At 48.2% G+C, this 21,407-nt stretch overlaps 1 protein-coding gene and 1 long non-coding RNA gene across 18 annotated transcripts in view, besides 8 other annotated features; one reads left to right on the top strand and one right to left on the bottom strand.

Annotated features, from left to right (window-relative positions):
* Nucleotides 1-5,615: 5,615 nt before the first annotated feature.
* KDM2B-DT (KDM2B divergent transcript) lies at nucleotides 5,616-21,199 on the bottom strand. Its single transcript, NR_183427.1, has 4 exons — nucleotides 20,447-21,199; nucleotides 8,163-8,277; nucleotides 6,156-6,286; nucleotides 5,616-5,796 (listed from the first exon to the last, which is right to left on the bottom strand). It is a non-coding gene; the product is annotated as a KDM2B divergent transcript (long non-coding RNA).
* Nucleotides 9,121-9,936: an enhancer, noted in NCBI's record as "H3K27ac-H3K4me1 hESC enhancer chr12:122029679-122030494 (GRCh37/hg19 assembly coordinates)". NCBI's record gives its function as "activates a minimal SCP1, AML or CMV promoter by ChIP-STARR-seq in naive H9 embryonic stem cells {active_cell/tissue: H9 hESC(naive)}" and the evidence as "EXISTENCE:reporter gene assay evidence [ECO:0000049][PMID:30033119]".
* Nucleotides 9,937-10,752: an enhancer, noted in NCBI's record as "H3K27ac-H3K4me1 hESC enhancer chr12:122028863-122029678 (GRCh37/hg19 assembly coordinates)". NCBI's record gives its function as "activates a minimal SCP1, AML or CMV promoter by ChIP-STARR-seq in naive and primed H9 embryonic stem cells {active_cell/tissue: H9 hESC(naive and primed)}" and the evidence as "EXISTENCE:reporter gene assay evidence [ECO:0000049][PMID:30033119]".
* Nucleotides 17,657-18,590: an enhancer, noted in NCBI's record as "H3K27ac hESC enhancer chr12:122021025-122021958 (GRCh37/hg19 assembly coordinates)". NCBI's record gives its function as "activates a minimal SCP1, AML or CMV promoter by ChIP-STARR-seq in primed H9 embryonic stem cells {active_cell/tissue: H9 hESC(primed)}" and the evidence as "EXISTENCE:reporter gene assay evidence [ECO:0000049][PMID:30033119]".
* Nucleotides 18,591-19,526: an enhancer, noted in NCBI's record as "OCT4-NANOG-H3K27ac hESC enhancer chr12:122020089-122021024 (GRCh37/hg19 assembly coordinates)". NCBI's record gives its function as "activates a minimal SCP1, AML or CMV promoter by ChIP-STARR-seq in naive H9 embryonic stem cells {active_cell/tissue: H9 hESC(naive)}" and the evidence as "EXISTENCE:reporter gene assay evidence [ECO:0000049][PMID:30033119]".
* The window catches only part of KDM2B (lysine demethylase 2B), a 173,819-nt gene continuing 171,842 nt past the window's right edge, over nucleotides 19,431-21,407 (top strand). For 11 of the 17 annotated variants that reach the window (XR_007063140.1, XM_047429681.1, XM_011538867.4 and 8 more), the window contains exon 1: nucleotides 20,687-20,924. Coding sequence is in view for 16 of the 17 variants with exons in the window: in XM_047429681.1 (XP_047285637.1) it covers nucleotides 20,799-20,924 (126 nt within the window). In the remaining variant the exon portion in view is untranslated. Of the gene's footprint in view, nucleotides 20,925-21,407 lie in introns of all 17 variants that reach the window. The other 6 variants (NM_001439029.1, NM_001439023.1, NM_001439022.1 and 3 more) reach the window with 3 other exon arrangements.
* Nucleotides 20,462-21,397: an enhancer, noted in NCBI's record as "H3K27ac hESC enhancer chr12:122018218-122019153 (GRCh37/hg19 assembly coordinates)". NCBI's record gives its function as "activates a minimal SCP1, AML or CMV promoter by ChIP-STARR-seq in naive H9 embryonic stem cells {active_cell/tissue: H9 hESC(naive)}" and the evidence as "EXISTENCE:reporter gene assay evidence [ECO:0000049][PMID:30033119]".
* Nucleotides 20,462-21,406: a biological region, named in NCBI's record as "H3K27ac hESC enhancer GRCh37_chr12:122018218-122019153".
* Nucleotides 20,967-21,016: a silencer, noted in NCBI's record as "silent region_4979". NCBI's record gives its function as "represses an Ori minimal core promoter by ATAC-STARR-seq in GM12878 lymphoblastoid cells {active_cell/tissue: GM12878}" and the evidence as "EXISTENCE:reporter gene assay evidence [ECO:0000049][PMID:35858748]".
* Nucleotides 21,097-21,406: a silencer, noted in NCBI's record as "silent region_4978". NCBI's record gives its function as "represses an Ori minimal core promoter by ATAC-STARR-seq in GM12878 lymphoblastoid cells {active_cell/tissue: GM12878}" and the evidence as "EXISTENCE:reporter gene assay evidence [ECO:0000049][PMID:35858748]".

Genomic DNA, 21,407 nt, shown 5'->3' with positions numbered 1-21,407 from the left:
CCTGCCTCAGCCTCCTGAGTAGCTGGGATTACTAGCATGCACCACCATGCCTGGCTAATTTTTGTATTTTTAGTGGAGACAGGGTTTCGCCATGTTGGCCAGGCTGGTCTCGAACTCCTGACCTCAGGTGATCCGCCCGCCTTGGCCTCCCAAAGTGCTGGGATTACAGGCGTGAGACACCACGCCTGGCCCATCTTCAATGATTTCTATGCATTGTCTGGGTTTTTGCAAAATTAGATCATGGATTACCTCTATAATTTTTCAAAATTAACTTGCCATTATAGGAGTCCAGGCAAGGTGTTAAGAAGTCAAGGAGGAGGAGAATCAAATCTTTCATTTCATAGATGGAAAATCAGGCCAAATCTGAGGGAGGGCACCTGTCAGAAGTGCAGGCCCTTTGCCAGAGCTCCAGGGTTAGAACTCAGCTGCTGCCCTCTTGCCTGGTGTATGAAGGAAGGAACAACTGCGGTCACGGAAGCGGCCGTAATTAGACAGCAGGCAATGATTGAGTGGGAGCTGCAGGCAAAGTCCTCCATGGGTGCCCGGGGATGGACAGGCAGGTGAGCTAGGGGCCAGCCTGGCCTCACCTTCAAAGAGCTGGTTCCCAGGTGAGAAGATATGGCCCTGAGAAAGGTACCTGGCAGTACAGGTGATAAGGGGCCCTCTGCACTCTAAACACACCCACCTTCTAGCCTTATCTTTGTGTGTTAGAGTTATTTATTTACAGGCCATGTTAGCAGGAAGACTGGGGGCTCCTTGAGGGCGTTCATTCATTCAGGCATTTATTGAACTACTGTGTACCCAGGCACTGATTGGGACAGCTGTATACAGTAGCTGCTTGATAAACATACATTGCATTGAATGACAAGCTCAGAGCTTAGCATTACCTAAGCACTCCATAAATCCTGCTTGGATTGAATAAATAATGTATGAATAAATTACAGGCATCAGGCCTGGCACACAGTAGGTGTTTAATACATGTTGAATGCATGAAGGAAGGACTAACACAAGGTCTGGTACACAGGAAATACATGTTGCAAGAACCTGCCTGTATTTTTTATTTTTTTATTTTTTTGAGATGGAGTCTCCCTGTCGCCCAGGCTGGAGTGCAGTGGCGCGATCTCAGCTCACTGCAACTTCCACCTCCCAGATTTAAGTAACTCTGCCTTAGCCTCCCAAGTAGCTGGAATTACAGGCACACGCCACCATGCCGAGCTAATTTTTCTATTTTTAATAGACAAAATACAAAATACAGCCTGTTGTCCAGGCTGGTCTTGAACTCCTGACCTCAAGTGATCCACCTGCCTGGGCCTCCCAAAGTGCTGGGAATACAGGCGTGAACCACCGTGCCCAGAATTTTTTTTTTTTTTTTTTTTTGGAGACAGGGTCTCACTCTGTTGCCCAGGCTGGAGTGCAGTGTTGCGATCATGGCTCACTGCAGCCTTGATTTTGTGGGCTCAAGTGATCCTCCCACCTTAGCTTCCAGAGAAACTGGTACCACAGGAGTGCACCACCACACCCAGCTAATTTTTTTCATTTTTCTTTTTGAGATGGAGTTTTGCTCTTGTTGCCCAGGCTGGAGTGCAATGGTGCAATCTTGGCTCACTGCAACCTCCGCCTCCCAGGTTCAAGTGATTCTCCTGCCTTAGCCTCCTGAGTAGCTGGGATTACAGGCACACACCACCATGCCCAGCAAATTTTTGTATTTTTAGTAGAGATGGGGTTTTGCCATGTTGGCCAGGCTGGTCTCGAACTCCTGACCTCAGGTGATCCACCTGCCTCGGCCTCCCAAAATGCTGGGATTACAGGCATGAGCCACCGCGCCCATACTTTTACATTTTTTTTTGCAGAGACAGAGTCTCACTAAGTTGCCCAGGCTGGTCTCAAACTCCTGGACTAAAGCGATTCTCCTGTCTTGGCCTCCTAAAGTGCTGGCATTACAAATGTGAGCTACCACACCAGGCCTGAACCTGTCTTTTTTTTTTTTTTTTTTTTTTTTTTGAGACAAAGTCTTGCTCTGTTGCCCCAGGCTGGAGTGCAGTGGTACGATCCTGGCTCATTGCAACCTCCGCCTCCCGGGTTCAAGCAGTTCTCCTGATCAGCCTCCCGAGTAGCTGGGATTATAGGCATGTGCCACCACACCCGGCTAATTTTTGTATTTTTAGTAGAGATGGGGTCTCACCGTGTTGGCCAGGCTGGTCTCGAACTCCTGACCTCAGGTGATCTGCCTGCCTTGGCCTCCCAAAGTGCTGGGATTACAGGCATGAGTCACCGCGCCCAGCCTATTTCCAGTTTTTTGTGATGATATACAATGCTGCTAGGGCCATCATTCTTGTTCATGCTTCCCAGTGCACTCCTGCATTTCTGTCAACAATGTCCTCAGCTGTGGAGCGGCTGCATCATAGGTTACACACACCTTCAGCTTTATCAGACATTGCCCAGCTAGTTCCCAAAGTGTCTACTAATTTTTGCAGTTTATTTCACCCCCAATCGCACCCTCAGCTCACTATGCTTGTGTCATATGGGCCTTCTTTTGCGCCCTTTAGCACATGTGTGCCTCAGTCAGAAGGCCTATTCTATCTGCCATTTCATCTGCTGAGAGCACTTCCCCAACACTCAGCCTAGCAAAGAACTTTTCTTCAGAGCTCAGCTCTAGGCATCACTCCCTCCCCAGTCCGAGACCAGGTCAACCCTCCCTCCCTCCATATTATGGAACTCACAGCACCACATATGTCTTCTTTGTGATATTTATCAACTTCAGAGTTTCCTCTCTATCTGTGCAATTCTCAGAACAAAGTCTGTCTCCCCTGCTAAGCTGTAAGTTCCCATGTTTGTTTAAGCTCCCTGCCCTTTCTCCAACACCCAACAGCAAGCCTGGCACATGTTAGGCAATGGGTGTTATTACTCTAATAGCTATTCTGTATTCTAACTCATATTTGAGTTCAGTATGTAACTTTTCCAGCATGTTTTCACATTAATTAGCATCTTCTGGGGCCGGGATCATGACAATGTAGACACAGTCCCTTCCCTTAAGGAGTTCACAGATTTAAGTCAATAAATGTTTACTGGACTCGCTGGCCCGTGACATATTTTAAGTGCTTAGCAACTGTTTAATTGACTCAGAGGTCCCCCTCATCTGAGTATTACTATAATGAACAGCGTAGGCCAGTGTTTTCTGAGCACTTATTATGCACCAGACACTCTGCTAAGTGCTTTTCATTTACCATCTCCTGCATGCTCACATCCTTCCCAGGAGGTCCTACATCACCTGCATTTGACAGATGAGGAGACTGAGCCTCAGGAAGGTGAATTCATTCTTCTGTTCCAGGTCACACAGCTGGTACATGGTACAGACGGGATTTCTCAGCCAGAGCTCCTAACCTGTACCTCCTATTACGATGCTGCATTTTCCCTGCTCCAATTACACTGCTCTCTTTCTTTCGTTCTTTTTTTTTTGAGATGGAGTCTGGCTCTGTCACCCTGGCTGGAGTGCAGTGGCCAGATTTTGGCTTACTGCAATCTCTGCCTCCCAGGTTCAAGTGATTCTCCTGCTTCAGCCTCCCAAGTAGCTGGGACTATAGGCGTGTGCCACCATACCCGGCTAATTTTTGTATTTTTAGTAGAGACAGGGTTTTTCACCATGTTGGCCAGGCTGGTCTCGAACTCCTGACCTCGGGTGATCTGCCCACCTCGGCCTCCCAAAGTGCTGGGATTACAGGCGGGAGCCACTGTGCCCATCTTTTTTTTTTTTTGAGACGGAGTCTCGCTCTGTCGCCCAGGCTGGAGTGCAGTGGCGTGATCTTGGCTCACTGCAACCTCCACCTCCCAGGTTGAAGCAATTCTCCTGCCTCAGCCTCCCAAGTAGCTGGGATTACAGGTGACCACCACCACACCCAGCTAATTTTGTGTATTTTTAGTAGAGACAAGGTTTTACCATGTTGGCCAGGCCAGTCTCGAACTCCTGACCCCAGGTGATCCACCTGCCTCGGCCTCCCAAAGTGCTGGGATTACAGGTGTGAGCCACCGCGCCCAGCCCACTGTGCCCATCTTAAATTACACTGCTTTCTGTTGGAGCACAGAGACTAAGTTTGATACCTACCATTACTGGGCACCGCAGTACTAACCATTTTACGTCCATCTATTCATTTAATTCAAATAGTTACTGAACCCACCATGAACCAAGTTCTGTTCTAGGGGCTGGAGATATGGAGGTAAACAAAACAGACATCCTAGTGGGAGGAATAAAAACTAAAGAAACTCAGTTAAGTAGAATATAAAATATGGGCTGTGCACAGTGGTTCATGCCTATTATCCCCGCACTTCGGGAGCCAGAGAGGGAGGATTGCTTGAGATCAGGAGTTCAAGACCAGCCTGGGCAACATAGTGAGACCCTGTCTCTACAAAATGTAAAAAAAAAAAAAGAAAAAGAGAAACTTGAGCCGGGCGTGGTGGCTCACGCCTGTAGTCCCAGCACTTTGGGAGGCTGAGGCAGGTGGATCACCTGAGGTCAGGAGATGGAGACCAGCCTGGCCAACACGGTGAAACCCTGTCTCTACTAAAAATACAAAAATTAGCCGGGCGTGGTGGTGGACACCTGTAATCTCAGCTACTCAGGAGTCTGAGGCAGGAGAATTGCTTAAACCCAGGAGGCAGAGGTTGCAGTGAGCTGAAGATTGCGCCATTGCACTCCAGCAGCCTGGGTGACAGAGCCAGACTCCAACACACACACACACACACACACACACACACACACACACCCACAAAACCAAAAATTAGCCAGGTGTGGTGGTAGGCACCTGTAATCCCAGCTACTTGGGAGGCTGAGACAGGAGAATCGCTTGAACCCCGGAGGCAGAGGTTGCAGTGAACCAAGATCATGCCATTGCACTCCAGCCTGGGGGGCAAAAGCAAAACTGTTTCAAAAACAAACAAACAAAAAAACCGGCTGGGTGTGGTGATACATGCCTGTAGTCCCAGGTAATCAGGAGACTGAGGCGGGAGGATCACTTGAATCCAGGAGTTGGACATGGCAGTGAGCTGTGATTGTGTCACTGCCCTCCAGCAGCCTGGGTGACAGAGAGAGACCCTGTCTCAATATATTAGGTTGGCGCAAAAGTAATTGCAGTTTTTGCCACTGAAAGTAATGCCATTGGAGGTAATGGCAAAAACAGCAATTACTTTTGCGCCAATCTAATAGATATGTAGATAATATGATCGATGGTGATCAGTGATAACAGTGAAAAAGAAACAGAACAGGGAACAAGGGGCCGGGCTCAGTGGTTCACGCCTGTAATCCCAGCACTTTGGGAGGCCGAGGTGGACGGATCACTTGAGGCCAGGAGTTCGAGAACAGCCTGGCCAACATGGTAAAACCCCACTTCTACTAAAAATACAAAAAAATTTAGCCAGGCATGGTGGTGTGCGTCTGTGGTGCCAGCTACCCGGGAGGCTGAGGTGGGAGGATCCCTTGAACACAGGAGGCAGAGGCTGCAGTGAGCTGAGATCGCGCCATTGCACGCCAGCCTGGGTGACAGAGTGAGACCCTGTCTCCAAAAAACAAACAAACAAAAACAAAAAAAGAAAAGAAAAAGGAACAAGGAAAATAAGATGGTAAATGTGGTCTCCAAGGTCTTGTTTCATCTTCCTATGTCCATTATTTTTCCCATTATGCAAGTGAGGAGGAGGTTCAGAGAGGTGGAGTAACTCGTCCAGGGACTCACAGTGCGCAAGCTGAGACGTCAGTGTCCTGGAAGGACCCATCCTGCAATCGTTCTTGGCTGTGTTCCTACCCAGTGCCTAGGATGGAGGTGAAGACAAAAAGAGCATCAGGCTTTCTCTCAAGAGCTTGAGACCTGGCAAGCGGGTAGGTCAATCCCTGTGAGCAGAGGACTCCCTAAAGCCCTTGCGATGCATCCATGAGGTGCCCAGAGCAGACATTGAGGAATCACCTTGGGAGAAGCGGATGCAGAGGCTGGAGTCGAAGCTCAGGCTGATGAATCGATTCCAGAGATCAGGAGCAGAAGGCAAAGTCCCCGTAGGATCTTCTGGGACTATTGGTGGCTCCCAGGCCCACCAGTCCTGGCTCTACTCCCCTTCAGCCCTCTTATCTCCAGCCTTTAGGCCTTCAGGTAGGGAGACCCAACGACGCTAGTTACCTAATAATTAGCCACAGCCGCCGGGCGCGGTGGCTCACGCCTATAATCCCAGCACTTTGGGAGGCCGAGGCGGGCGGATCACGAGGTCAGTAGATCGAGATCATCCTGGCTAGCACGGTGAAACCCCGTATCTATTAAAAATACAAAAAATTAGCCGGGCGTGGTGGCGGGCGCCTGTAGTCCCAGCTCCTTGGGAGGCTGAGGCAGGAGAATGGCGTGAACCCGGGAGGCGGAGCTTGCAGTGAGCCAAGATGGCGCTACTGCACTCGAGCCTGGGCGACAGAGCAAGACTCCGTCTCAATAAATAAATAAATAAATAGATAGATAAATAAATAAAAATAAAATAATTAGGCACAGCCTAGCAGTGAGGAAGCTAGAGTCACATGCAAACAGCGGCCCCTCCTCTACCCGGCATCATGAGCTAGGGGTGCCTCCCAGACTGCTGGCTGGTGGCGGTGGAGGGGACGCAGGGTACGCGTTTTTAGGCCTCAGCTGCGAGCAATGATGGCTGGTCCCCATGACTCAGTTTGTGTGCAACAGGTGTCATGAATAAGGGTGGCAGTGTGGAATAGAGTGGGTAAGGGTCTGGACTTTGGAGCTAGAAAGGTGTTCCCGCCTCGCCAAGGCACACCAACGTATTTTTTATACCTCTAAGAAACTTGGTATCTTTTTTTTTTGGAGACGGAGTCTTGCCTCTGTCACCCAGGCTGGAGTGCAGTGGCATGATCTCAGCTCACTGCACCTCCGCCTGTTGGGTTCAAGCAATTCTGCTTCAACCTTCCGAGTAGCTGGAACTACAAGCGCACACTGCGACCCCTGGCTAATTTTTTGTGTTTTAGTAGACACGGGGTTTCACCATGTTACCCAGGCTGGTCTCAAACTCCTGAGTTCAGGCAATCTGCTCGTCTTGGCCTCCCAAAGTGCTAGGATTACAGGCGTGAGCCAGTGTGTCAGGACTTTTTTTTTTTTGAGACACAGTTTCACTCTGTCACCCAGGCTGGAGTGCAGCTGCGCCATCTCGGCTCACTGCAACCTTAACCTTCCGGGTTCAAGCGATTCTCCTGCCTCGGCCTCCTGAGTAGCTGGGACTACAGGTGCCCACCACAATGCCCGGCTAATTTTTGTATTTTTAGTAGAGATAGGGTTTCACCATGTTGGCAAGGCTGGTCTCAAACTCCTGACTTCAGGTGATCTGCCTGCCTTGGCCTCCCAAAGTGCTGGGATTACAGGCATGAGCCACCGCACCCAGCCGGTATCTTGTTCAAAGAGGTACACTTTAAGGATAGTTGATCAAGCTGAAAATATACATAGTTTTGGAGGTTGAGGAATTCATTCATTCAACAAACATTCGTTGAGTATGTTTTATGAGCTGGGTCCTAGGACCTGAAAATAAACAGTGAAGAGGCCGGGTGCAGTGGCTCACACCTGTAATCCCAGCACTTTGGGAGGCTGAGGCGGGTGGATCACGAGGTCAGGAGATCGAGACCAACTTGGCTAACACGGTGAAACCCCGTCTGTACTAAAAATACAAAAAATTAGCCGGGTGTGATGGTGGGCGCCTGTGGTCCTAGCTACTGGGGAGGCTGAGGCAGGAGAATGGCGTGAACCCGGGAGGTGGAGCTTGCAGTGAGCCGAGATTGGTGCCACTGCACTCCAGCCTGGGCGACAGAGCGAGACTCTGTCTCAAAATAAATAAATAAATAAATAAATAAATAAATAAAATAGTGAAGAGGACGAACAAGGTTGGTCTCCTCAGACTCCTCAGAGACTTTTCCTTTTTTTTTTTTTTTTTTTTTAACAGAGACAGGGCCTAATTATGTTGCCTAGGCTGTTCTCAAACTTCTGGGCTCTCAAGTGAGCCTCCTGCCTTGGCCTCCTGTAGTGCTGGGATTAGACGGGGAATTTTCCTTTTATTGAGTGGTGTTAGACTGTGGACACGTGAGTAGTCTATTAGTTGTGACAGGTGTTCTGAATGAGAGTTTTGCGTGAGAGTAGAGGTAAACTCACCTGCTCTCAATCTGTAAGGGAGCCATCTCAGAATTTTCTCTCTTCAGGCTGGGGATGAGAGCCAACGTCTTCATTTCAGAACATCTCAGCCGCATCAGGGGGATCGTCACACTCTCTGCCATGAATAGGTGACGCGGGATGAAGAGGAGAGTTTCCTATCAAGGCTGCTGTGTTTTGTTTTTGTTTTGTAGATATGGGGTTTCACCATGTTGCCCAGGCTGGTCTCTAACTCCTGGGCTCAAGGGATCCACCCGCTTTGACCTCCCAAATTGTTGGGATTACAGGTATGAGCCACAGTGCCTGCCTAAGGTTGCTTTCTGTGTGAATCAAGGAGGCATTCAATAAATAGTTGTGGGATTAATGAATGTCATTTCAAGGAGGGTTAAAAGCCATGGACACCATCTGTAAAGGGTATTATAATTTGGTTATCCAGGAAAACAGAAAATTTCAGCAGTTATTTGAGATTTCCAGAAGGGTGAGTAGTTTTGGGATTTGGGGAGAAGGAATTGGGGTGCTGGGTTTCCATTCAACAAGTATGTTTTCCAGCCTGGCCAACACGGCAAAACCTCGTCTCTACTAAAAATACAAATATTACCTGGGTGTGGCGGTGGGTGCCTGTAATCCCAGCTACTTGGGAGGCCGAGGCAGGAGGATCGCTTGAACTCCGGAGGCAAGGCAGAGGTTGCAGTGAGCCAAGGTCGCACCACTGCACTCCATCCTGGGCGACAGAGTGAGACTCCGTCTCAAAAAAATAAAATAATAAAAAAAAAACCACAAGTATTTTTAGAGAACATGCAGGCACTTTGCTAGAGCTATATCCATGAATGAGACAGACCAGGTACTGCCCTCCAGGGCTTACAGTCTGGTGAAGGCACAGGCAACAGTAAGATGATGTGGTAATTACTGGGAGGGGGCAGGAAAGAGAGAGAGCAAAGCAGATTCCAGGAGAAACAGGAGGGAAGAAGGGCTGCGGGAATAGACTGGCATATGCAAAGGTCTAGAGGAGGAAAGAGCAGGTTTAGTCAAAGAACTCAAAATAGTTCAGCACGGTCAGACTTTGGAGTCTGGTGAGGGACAGGATGTACAAGCAAGGGGACTCAATCCATACATTCCAGGCAGGCTTCCCCAAGGCGTTCCCCTTGGGGAAAAGCTAAATTTGCCCAATCCACAGCTAGCTGTCATCGTTCTGGAGCCCAGGAGGTCAACCTCATTTTAATTAAGACACACCATTTATTGAGTCCTGTTATAGAACATTGGCTCATTCAATTGTCGGGTAACTATTTTATTATTATTATTTTTTGAGATGGAGTTTTGCTCTTGTTGCTCAGGCTGGAGTGTAATGGTGTGATTTTGGCTCACCGCAACCTTCACCTCTCGGGTTCAAGCGATTCTCCTGCCTCAGCCTCCCAAGTAGCTGGGATTGCAGGCATGCGCCACCATGCCTGGCTAATTTTGTATTTTCAGTAGAGACGGGGTTTCTCCATGTTAGTCAGGCTTGTCTCGAACTCCCGACCTCAGGTGATCTGCCTGCCTTGGCCTCCCAAAGTGCTGGAATTACAGACATGAGACACCTCGCCCGGCCTATTTTTCTTTTTCTTTCTTTCTTTCTTTCTTTCTTTTTTTGAGACGTAGTCTTGCTGTCACCCAGGCTGGAGTGCAGTAGCACGATCTAGGCTCTGCAACCTCCGCCTCCCAGGTTCAAGCATTTCTCTTGCCTCAGCCTCCCAAGTAGCTGAGATTGCAGGCATGAGCCACCATGCCCAGCTAAGTTTTATGTTTTTAGTAGAGATGGGGCTTCCCCATGTTGGCCAAGTTGGTCTCAAACTCCTGACTTCAGGGGATCTGCCTGCCTCGGCCTCCCAAAGTGCTGGGATTACAGGTGTGAGCCATCGCGCCTTGACCCTCTGGTAACTTTTTTTTTTTTGAGATGGAGTCTCGCTCTGTCACCCAGGCTGGAGTGCAGTGGCGAGATCTCGGCTCACTGCAAGCTCCGCCTCCTGGGTTCACGCCATTCTCCTGCCTCAGCCTCCTGAGTAGCTGGGACTACAGGTGCCAGCCACCACGCCCTGCTAATTTTTTGTAGAGATGGGGTTTCACCGTGTTCGCCAGGATGGTCTCCATCTCCTGACCTTGTGATCCGCCCACCTCAGCCTCCCAAAGTGCTGGGATTACAGGCGTGAGCCACTGCGCCCGGCCTCCTCTGGTAACTTTCATGTGACCCCATTTTACAGATGAGAAAACTGAGACTTAAGTTTGGACACTTTGTCCTAGGTCATGCAGCTGACTACATTTAGGAACTGCGAATGTTCATTTATGTAAATACTTCTGCTTTAGCAGTGCCTCTTCCATGAGGTAATGTGTGTAAAAGCTTTCTTGTAGTAGAGCCATATAAACACGAAGCATTGTTATTCATTTTGCTGGACTTTTGGCTCCATCCAGTTCAGCCTGCAGCATTTAGGGAGTCCAGGAAGGGGTGAGGGCAGTAATTAAAGCCTAAAGGCCCAATGGCCTGTCGGAATTCCCTGTCTATTCTGGTTCCCTCTCCGAGGCACCTCCAGATTTTATCTTCTACCAAATAGAGAGTTTGTTTCTCAGAAGTTGCAGGATGTGGGCGGTTATATAAAAAAAAAAAAAAAAAAAAAAAAAAAAGCAGCATCAACAACTACAAAAACCCCAGCAGCAGCCTAAACACAAAAGAGTCTGAATTTTGAACAAAGGGCAGGGTGAGACCTGAAAGTAAACGCTGACACATCCTCTCCCCAGCTGTGAACTGGGGGTCTGAGGGCTGCAGCAAAGGTCATCTGTCTCTATCTTTAGGCAGGAAATGCAATTCAATCCTCCCAGTGACTGATCACTTCGCAAGATTAATGGAATCATCTCCAACACTGGTCCCTGTTCCAACAGCACAAAAAGTGAATCAACCTTCTCACTTACTCAGCGAGGTCAGCGGATTCCCCGTTCTAAAAGTTCAAAACTTTTCTCCAGGAAATTTGTCCTTGACTATTCCTTTGTGGGGCGAAATCCTGCTTTCTGGGCTAAGACTGAAATGTGGTATTTGAAAGTCCGGGGACTTTTGTAGGCTTTTCATCTGTTACTACTTCAACTTTAAAATAAAATAAATGCAAAAGGCCTGATTTTCCCTGAAAGGGTTAATTGCCAGCCCTCTGAGCCCTCCCTCGGGGATCGTCAACCAATCACAATTGAGTATGATGAAGTAATGCTTAGATTTTTATTTCCATTGGTTAAAGTACTTGTCCATCAATCCAAAGAGGCAATTTTTTTTTTTTTTTTTCTTTTTTTTCTTTTTTGTTTTTTTGAGACAGAGTCTCGCTCTGTTGCCCAGGCTGGAGTGCAGTGGCGCGATCTCGGCTCACCACAACCTCCGCCTCTCGGGTACAAGCGATCTTCCTGCCTCAGCCCCGCTAGTAGCTGTGATTACAGGCACGCGCCACCACGCCCGGTTAATTTTTGTATTTTTAGTAGAGGGGGGGTTTCACCATGTTGGCCAGGCTGGTCTCAAACTTCTGACCTCAGGTGATCCACACGCCTCGGCCTCCCAAAGTGATGGGATTACAGGCGTGAGCCACCGCGCCCGCCCTAAAAAGACAAGTTTTTTAAAGAATCTTTGAACTTTCGTGACTCTTCCTGGCATTAACCCCTTAATTAACTCACCTGTTATATTCAGTGTTCCTTTCAACCCTCACAGTGGAAGAGACAGATTATAAAATGAAGAATTCGCTGGGCGCGGTGGCACACGCCTGTAGTCCCAGCACTTTGGGAGGCCGAGGCGGGTGCATCCACCTGAGGTCTGGAGTTCGAGAGCAGCCTGGCCAACATGGTGAAACCCTGCCTCTACTAAAAACACAAAAATGAGCCAGGCATGGTGGTGGGCACCTGTAATCCCAGCTACTCAGGAGGCTGAGACAGGAGAATAGCTTGTACCCGGCAGGTGGAGGTTGCAGTGAGCCGAGATCGTGGCATTGCACTCCAGCCTGGGCGACAGAGCAAGACTCCGTCTCTAAATAAATAAATAAAATGAAGAATTCTAGAGAGAAACTGAAGTCTTCCCCAAATGGCCAAGGCTTGACAGTCTATATGCATGCATTTTGGTCTTCCTTAGTCTTTTTACTCAATCTACAAAAGACTGAGGAATAAAAAGAAAAGGTCTTTGGAGACCCCAATCACGTTCTTTTTTTTTTTTTCTTTTTTTTTTTTTTTTTGAGATAAAATTTCACTCTTGTCGCCCAGGCTGGAGTACAGTGGTAGAATCTCGGCTCACTGCAACCTCCGCCTCCCAGGTTCACGGGGTTCTCCTGTCTCAGCCTCCTGAAGTAGCTGGGATTACAGGTGCCCGCCACCATGCCGAGCTAATTTTTTTGTATTTTTTTTTTAGTAGAGACAGGGTTTCACCATGTTGGCCAGGCTGGTCTTGAACTCCTGACCTCAGGTGATCCACCCGCCTCGGCCTCCCAAAGTGCTAGGATTATAGGCGTGAGCCACCGCGCCCGGCCTGGAGACCCCAATCACTTTAACAGAAATAGTATGGTCTGTTATCCTCCCAGATTAAGACTATTTCCCAAGTAAGAATATTTGTTTCAGGAGCCTGGCGCATTGGCTCACGCCTGTAATCCCAGCACTTTGGGAGACAGAGGCAGGCGGATTACCTGAGGTCAGGAGTTCGAGATCAGCCTGGCTAATGTGGTGAAACCCTGTCTCTACTAAAAATACAAAATTAGCTGGGCATGGTGGCACACGCCTGTAATCCCAGCTACTCCGGAGGCTGAGGCAGGAGGAGGCTGAGGCAAGAGAATCGCTTGAACCCGGGAGGTGGAGGTTGCAGTGAGCCGGGATCATGTCACTGTAGTCCAACCTGGGCGACAGTGAGTCTCCGTCATAAAAAAAAAAAAAAAAAGAATATTTGTTTTAAATTGCAAAACTCATACAAATATGGCAAATCTCTAACATTTGCCAACACTGGATGCTGGATACACGAGTCTTTATTTATTTTATTAATTTTTTTTGAGAGGGAGTCTCACTCTGTTGCCCAGGCTGAAGTGCAGTGGCACCATCTCGGGTCACTGCAACCTCTGCCTCCTGAGTCAAGCGATTCTCCTGCCTCAGCCTCCTGAGTAGCTGAGATTACAGATGTAACCACACCTGGCCAATTTGTGTATTTTTAGTAGAGACGGGGCTTTGCCATGGTGCCCAGGCTGGTCTCGAACCCCTGACCTCAGGTGATCTGCCTGCCTGAGCCTCCCAAAATGTTAGGATTATACGCGTGAGCCACTGCACTAGGCCCTCTTTATTTATTTTATAACTTTCATTATGTTTGAAATATTTGACAAATGTAAAAGGTCAAAATTGTTGTTAAAGACGCAAATAATATATAAATATAACCCCGTTAAAATTTTCTCCCCTCCTGTGAGGGAATCAAAGGTAGTGGTTTGCCGCGCAATTCCAAGCCTTTCTTTTTTTTTTTTTTGAGATGGAGTCTTGCTCCCGTTGGGCAGGCTGAAGTGCAGTGGCATGATCTCGGCTCATTGCAACTTCTACCTCCCAGGTTCAAGCGATTCTCCTTCCTCAGCCTCTCAAGTAGCTGGGATTACAGGCGAGCGCCACCACGCCCAGCTAATTTTTGTATCTTTAGTAGAGACAGGGTTTCGCCATGTTGGCCAGACTGGTCTCGAACTCCTGACCTCAGGTGATCCATCTGCCTCAGCCTCCCAAAGTGCTAGGATTACAGGAGTGAGCCACCGTGCCCAGTCTCCAAGCCTTTCTTATCTTTTTTTTTTTTTGGTGGGGGGGCACACATATATATATACAAATATTACTATAAATAGCTTGTTTTGACATAAATGGGTCATAATATACACTTTACTCTGTGACTTTTTAAAACCAATCGAATTTTCTATCACAACACTCAGATTTATGTAACACTTAAATAATACTTTTTTTCTTTTTCTTTTCTTTTTTTTTTTTTTTGAGACGAAGTTTCGCTCTTGTTGTCTAGGCCCCTGGGGTGCAATGGTGCGATCTCGGATCACTGCAACCTCTGACTCCCGGGTTCCAGCGATTCTCCTGTCTTAACCTCCCGAGTAGCTGGGATTACAGGCACATGCCGCCACGCCCAACAAATTTTTGGTATTTTTAGTAGAGACGGGGTTTCACCATGTTGGCCAGGCTGGTCTCCAACTCTTGACCTCAGGTGATCCGCCTGCCTCAGCCTCCCAGTGTTGGGATTACAGGCGTGAGCCACCGCGCCCAGCCTAAATAATACTTTAGAATGGCAGTTCTACAGATAGCACGTGGAAAGGGGTCCAAGATTATAGTCAGTGAAAGGCAAGATGAGAGATGGTGTGTATATTTCTTTCTTTCTTTCTTTTTTTTTTTTGAGATGGAGACTTGCTTAGTCACCCATGCTGGAGTGCAGTGGCATGATTTTGGCTCACTGCAATCTCTGCCTCCCGGGTTTAAGCAATTTTCCTGCCTCAGCCTCCTGAGTAGGTGGGATTACAGGCGCGTGTCGCCATGCCTGGCTAATTTTTGTATTTTTAGTAGAGACAGGGTCTCATCATGTTGACCAGGCTGGTCTCCAACTCCTTACCTCAAATGATCTGCCCACCTTGGCCTTCCAAAGTGGTGGGATTACAGGCATGAGCCACAGCACCTGGCTGGTGTGTATATTTCTGTGATACAATAATACAAGAAAATAAGGCTGGGCGCAGTGCCTCAGGCCTGTAATCCCAGCACTTTGGGAGGCTGAGGCGGGCAGATCACCTGAGCTCAGAAGTTCGAGACCAGCCTGGCCAACATGGCAAAACCCCGTCTCTACAAAAAATACAAAAATTAGCTGGGTGTGGCGGCATTTGCCTGTAGTCCCAGCTACTCAGGAGGCTGAGGCAGGAGAATCGCTTGAACCAGGGAGGCAGAGGTTGCAGTGACCCGAGATCATGCCACTGCACTCCAGCCTGGGCGACAGAGCGAGACTCCGTCTCAAAAAAAAAAAGAAAAAAAAGAAAAAGAAAAAATTGTGGAATATCTCATAAATACAATAGAATCTGAAAAATATTTAACTATACTTTAAGGAACAGTCTTAGATGCCCAGCAGGTGGATTAAGAAACAGAAAGTCACTAGTATCTCTGTTCACATTCCTTTCCTGAATGGTCTTTTGCAGCATTTTGTGTTAATCATTCCTTGCTTTTATTCCTGTTTTGTGACTTATGTATCTATATCTAAAGAATATTTAGCCTGTAATCCCCCACTTTGGGAGGCTGAGGGGTGGATCACTTGAGCTCAGGAGTTTGAGAACAGCCTGAGTAACATGGCAAAACAGAGTCCCTACAAAAAGTACCAAAATTAGCTGGGCCTGGTCTTGCATGCCTACAAGTCCCAGCTACTCGGGAGTCTGAGGTGGGAGCATTGCCTGAGCGCGGGAGGTGGAGGCTACAGTGAGCTGTGATCACACCACTGCACACCAGAGCCTGGGTGACAGAGCAAGACCCTGTCTCAAAAAAAAAAAAAAAATTTAGTTTTGGTTTAGGTTTGCCTGATTTTGAATCTTATAGACTTAAAAAAGGAATAAAATGGAATTATTTTTGAGTAGGTAATACATCTGTGCGGTACAAAATTCAAGAGGTACTACAGCATCTAAAATGAGATTAAGTCAATAAGGTTTAAAATCAGGCACCGTTCATGTACATATGTGGTAAAAATATCACTTTACCAAAAAATAGGCTTTCTTCTCTTTTCCCAGTTCTTTTTCTCACTTTTTGATCTTTCCAAAGGAAATTCTGCACATACTAAAGAATGTATGGGTCGGGCACGGTGGCTCATGCCTGTAGTCCCAGCAGTCTGGGAGGCCGAGATGGGCGGATCACCTGAGGTCAGAAGTTTGAGACCTGCCTGGCCAGTATGGTGAAACCCTGTCTCTACTAAAAACACAAAAATCAGCCGGGCATGGTGGTATGCGCCTGTAGTCCCAGCTACTTGGGAGGCTGAGGCAGGAGAATTGCTTGAACCCGGGAGGCGGAGGTTTCAGTGAGCCGAGATTGTGCCATTGTACTCCAGCCTGGGTGTTATAGCAAGACTCTGTCTCACAAAAAAAAAAAAAAAAAAAAAAGCATGTAGATACAGACATAACCCTTTTGGTTTCCTTACATGGTCCGCACAACTTAGTATTATTAGTATTCTGCATGTTGTTTAGTTTCGTTTTGGTTTGGAGACGGAGTCTCGGGATGTCACCCAGGCTGGAGTGCAGTGAATGATCTTGGCTCACTGCAACCTCTGCCTCCTGGGTTCAAGCGGTTCTTGTGCCTCAGCCTCCTGAGTAGCTGGGACTACAGGCGCACGCCACCACACCCAGCTAATTTTTGTATTTTTAGTAGAGATAGGGTTTTATCATGTTGCCCAAGCTGGTCTCGAACTCCTGAGCACAGGTGATCTGTCCGCCTTGGCCTCCCAAATTGCTGGGATTATAGGCATGAGCCACTGCGCCTGGCTTCACTCCAGATTTTTTATAATATTACTATGACTTTGTGCAAAGCCCCTCACATTTGCAGTACCTTTGAATCCTTGCCAAATCTCCATAAGGGGCTGTAATTCCCCACCTTTATGGCTGAGGCTCAAAGACAGGTTAACTTGCTTGGCCAAATTTTATAGCTAGGAAATAATGATAGGATTCGAACTCAGAGCTTACAGGAATCCAGAGCCCACAGGGTTGCCCACTATGCTAAGCCTCCCTTCAGGGCTGTCCCACAGAAGATGATAGAGTTATTCAAGATATTCTTTTTTTTTTTTTGAGACAGAATCCCCCTCTGTCACCCAGGCTTGAGTGCAGTGGTGCAATCAGCTCATTGCAAACTCTGCCTCCTGGGTTCAAGCAATTCTCCTGCCTCAGCCTCCCGAGTTGCTGGGATTACAGGTGTGCACCACCACGCTTGTCCAATTTTTGTATTTTTAATAGAGACGGGGGTTTCATCCTGTTGGCCAGGCTGGTCTTGAACTCCTGACCTCAGGTGATCCACCTGCCTCAGCATCCCAAAATGCTGGGATTACAGGTGTGACCCACAGCGCCCAGCCAATGATAGGGATATTCTGTATCTGCACCATTCAGTGCTGTCACTTCTAGCCCCTTCAAATGTAGGTACTGGGTTAAGGAGCTGAATTTTACATTTTATTTTAATTAAATTTAAGTAGCTGTATGTAGCTAATGTATCCCATCAAACAGCACAGCCTTAGAGTGCTTTCCAGAATTTGTTTTAACTCACCTACCAGGCTATATATACCTAAGAGGCTGATTTGATACAGGGTCCCCCTAATCAACCTTCCACAAACATTTGTGGAATGAATGAAGGGTCCATGGGGAAAGGGGGCCAAGGATATCAGCAAAGGTTTCCTAGAAGAGGCCATCTGATTACAGTGTGAATGCTTGCAGTGTTAGCCCTTAAACCACTCTCTCTGAGTGCCTGCCAAGGGCATGGCACTGCGTAGACTCCTGGGGATACCAGTTGGATATGAGGTTGTCCCACCTGCTCAGATCTTACAAATAAACTTCTCAAGGACAAATAGTTGGTGATAGGGTAGGAATCCTGAGACGTGGATGATCACTTTCAGATATATATTCTACTGACAGACTCAAGCACAAAGCTGCAATCCCTTATAGCTCTGTTTGCAATAGAAAAAGATTGAAAACCATCTAAAAGTTAGGGAACTAATTAAATCATTCTTGCACCATTTATCTGCCCAATGAAATGCTATGAAATCATTAGAAAGAATAAGGAAACTATAGCTGATGTGCTATAGCATTCCACATATGCTGATGTGGAATGATTAGATATCCTTAAATTAAAACAAAACAGGGCCAGGTGTGGTGGCTTACGGCTGTAATCTCAGCACTTTGGGAGGCCGAGGTGGGAGGAACACTTGAGCCTAGGAGTTGGAGACCAGCCTGGGCAACACGGCAAAACCCTGTCTCTACCAAAAATACAAAAATTAGCTGGGCATGGTGGTGCACTCCTGTAGTCTCAGCTACTTGGAAGGCTAAGGTGGAGCATTGCTGAGTCCAGGAGGTGGAGGTTGCAGTGAGCTGAGATTGTGTCACTGCACTCCAGCCTGGGCAACAGAGCAAGACCCTCTCTCAAAAAAAAGAAAAGAAAAATCAGGAGTTATGATAATCATATATGAATATGAGAACAACTTCAATTTCTTATCAAGATTCTGGTTTCTGAGAGCTACATCCAGTGTCCACCCTTTCCTTGGGAAGCTGCAGGTCCATCGTCCTACCCAGCCTCGAGTATGCCCCAATCTGCATGCCCCACGCTGCATCTTCTTTTCTCTAGCCTCTCTGTCTTTGGGCACAGAGTTGCTCAATCAACCTTTGATGAATGAAGAATGAATGGGGGTAACTCAGGCAGGATTTGACTGGGCCCTTTGTAAGATCGAGCAGGAGGGTCCAGGAAATAATTATTATTATGTTTCCAATACAACCGGCCCGGTGTTTTCCTGCAAGAAAAAGTACATCTCTGGGGTAAGCACCTTCACCTTCTCTCTTCCCTTACCTACTCTCCACTTCTCTGGGACAATTAGTCAACACTGGGAGCTCCAGGGTCTTGGCCCTTCCCCCTTTGGTCCAAAATAACCTCCTCCCCCACTTTGAGCAAATGCTTGGAATTCTTTCAACTGGAGGACAAAGCCTTTCATCTGCCAATTACTGATAAAGAGAAAATGCAAATATCGAGGGGGAAGGTGATTCATCAAGGGCCCAACATTTATTGAGTGGCCACTTAGGACCCGGCAGCAGGGCAGGCATTCTGGGGGAGGCCAAGGGGAACAAACCCCCGGCTGGCCCATTCTTTTCTCGTGTTTGCGGTTTCCTCGAGGTTTGTAAAGGGGGGGGATTAAATGAGGTGACTACCCAGCCCCTTCCCACTCTGACAGGCCAGGAACTCCTCGTGGAGGTGATAGATGGACTTAACTGTTTTTATACTAAGGTGGCTGCCATTGGACCTTTTTCTGATGCCAGCTTTTGGGGCCACTATGAGGCCACTTGGAGAGAAAGAAGGGCCTCAGGGAGAAAAAAGAATTAATTAGATGAAGCATTCTATTATATATTTTTTGCTTTATTTCACTTAATTCACTTTGCGTCACTCTCCAGCCCATGCAGCCTCCTTTGAACATGTTTATTTCATTATGGGGCAGTAGTGAGGCTGGTAAGTTACTAAAAAAAAAAAAAAAAAAAAAAAAAGCACGTGATGGCCAAGCCAGGCTCCAGTGTGAGCCCTGGCAGCGGCACATACGCGCTATGTGATCCTGGGTGAGTGGCTTTGCTTTTCTTAGTCCTAATTTCCTCCTTTGCAAAATGGGAACGAACAAGACGATTTCCCTTAAAGGGTTCTTGTGAGAAAGACAGGAACAAATAAAATGGTCCATGGTTCTGGACGGACTGAAGGCAGAACCGGCAGCACTCACACGAAGGGCTACTGATTGCACGCAGCAGCCAACGTGGGCGATTTCAGTTTGGAAACAAATTTTGATGTTTCCCAGCCTCATCCCTGCTTAAAAGATTTTTACAGCTAGTGAACATGAATGAAAACAAACTTCAAAGAGTAGCCTTTGAGGATGGGTGGGAAAGACTACAGTCAGATAGGACAGGAAACTTCTAAGGTGAGTGAGGGGGAAGCTGTCTCTTAGGACGGCCAATACGATGCTGATAGTGACATCGTATCTCCTGGTGGGGAAGCCACGTCCTCCCCACAGGTCTGTCTGATAGCCTGGGGACCATATGGGAGCACAGCAATCATTCAGATTCATAATTTCTCTGAGCTTCAGTTTCCCTATCTGCAAAATGACCTGCTCCAAGTATCCCACAGGGTTATGGCAGAAATAAAATGTCAGGCTCAAAGCCTGCTATCTACAATGTCCCTTTATCGTCTCCCTCTTGCCATGTCATTTTATCAGCATCTTTACCCGCAAGATCAGGCCTAGCAGGGCGCCACAGCTGGGGCTGGAGGAATGTTTAGGGCTAGCTTTTCTCAAGCCAAGTCGACCTGACTGTTGCTCATGATGGGAGGACAAGACAACCCAGGACCAGTGCTGGGGTAGTCAAAAACACTAGTAAGTGGACAGGGACCTAATGACACCCATGTATGTACGGAGGGTGCCGATACCTCCGCTAAGAAGCCCTGTAGGGGCTTCATCAAGGGCACTAGAGTTCCCCCCACCTATCCCAGAGCACCATGCACCTTTCCACCGACTTGTCTTCTATAAACTACCAACAAGGGCTTACCCTTCGCTCCTGTGCGGGCTGCGTTAGGAGGCGCCAGATCCAATTCTCTGCGTCTTTCGCTCCTGAGCATCTATCTGCTCCCCTTGCCGAGCGCAAGAACCTTTAAAAAATGTCCAACTTCTGTTTCAGGGCTGGTCGCCTAGTAAAGGAGTCCACAGAGGCGGGCAGAATGAATGAATGAAAGGCAACGTCTTCCGGTCAGCTGCGGACTGCAAAGGCTCTGGTCTGGCTGTATTTCCTGTACGTGTGTGTGTCCACATCTTTGAGTGCCGGGAGTTTAAAAGTTAGGCAGTCCTTATAGGTATGGAAGCCGAGCTAATTTCCTTCTGAGCCCCCCAAATGCCTCCTCCACATGGCGGGTCCGCAAATGGGGGGATCTGCAGAGGATCACCCCCCACGAAAAAGACATGCAGCAGAAAAGCAAAAAAAGAAAACAGTTATATATACAAAATGCTTTGAATTTGAGTCGGCCACACAGGTAATGTTGGGGGAGGGGTGGATGAAAGAAGAGGAAGAGGGGTAGCCCTGGGCAATGAGGGCAGGAACGGAGGTGGGGGGTCGTTTTTGGGGGTGCCAGGCCCCGGGGGCTTTCACGCCAGCATGCTCGGCTTGCATTTCCGCGCCTCCCGCTGAGGCCAGCCGTGCAAATCTGCACCTCCCTCCCCGCCCCCTCCTCCTTCCCTCCCTCCCTGCCCCGCCATCTCCGGGATGCGCCCGCCGCCTGCAACTCGGCCCTCCAAAAGTCAGCTCTGCACACAACTCCCGGGCGGCGGCGGCGCCTGCGTGCAGAGGCGCACTCGTGACCCAACAACAAAACAGCGATGCCACGGCGCTAACGGCGCCCGGTGCCTCCCGGGCTCCCTCCCCGCCCCATACCTCCTCGGGCCGCCGCCCCCACCCCCCCAAGCCCGGGCCGAGAGCCCCCCCAAATAGCCCGGCCGCGGGCTCCGAGCGCGATCGG

The sequence above is a fragment of the Homo sapiens genome, chromosome 12, assembly GCF_000001405.40.
Source record: "Homo sapiens chromosome 12, GRCh38.p14 Primary Assembly".
Lineage (NCBI taxonomy): Eukaryota > Metazoa > Chordata > Mammalia > Primates > Hominidae > Homo > Homo sapiens.
Note: the sequence above shows the minus strand (reverse complement) of the source record. Positions and strands in the feature narration are given on the sequence as shown.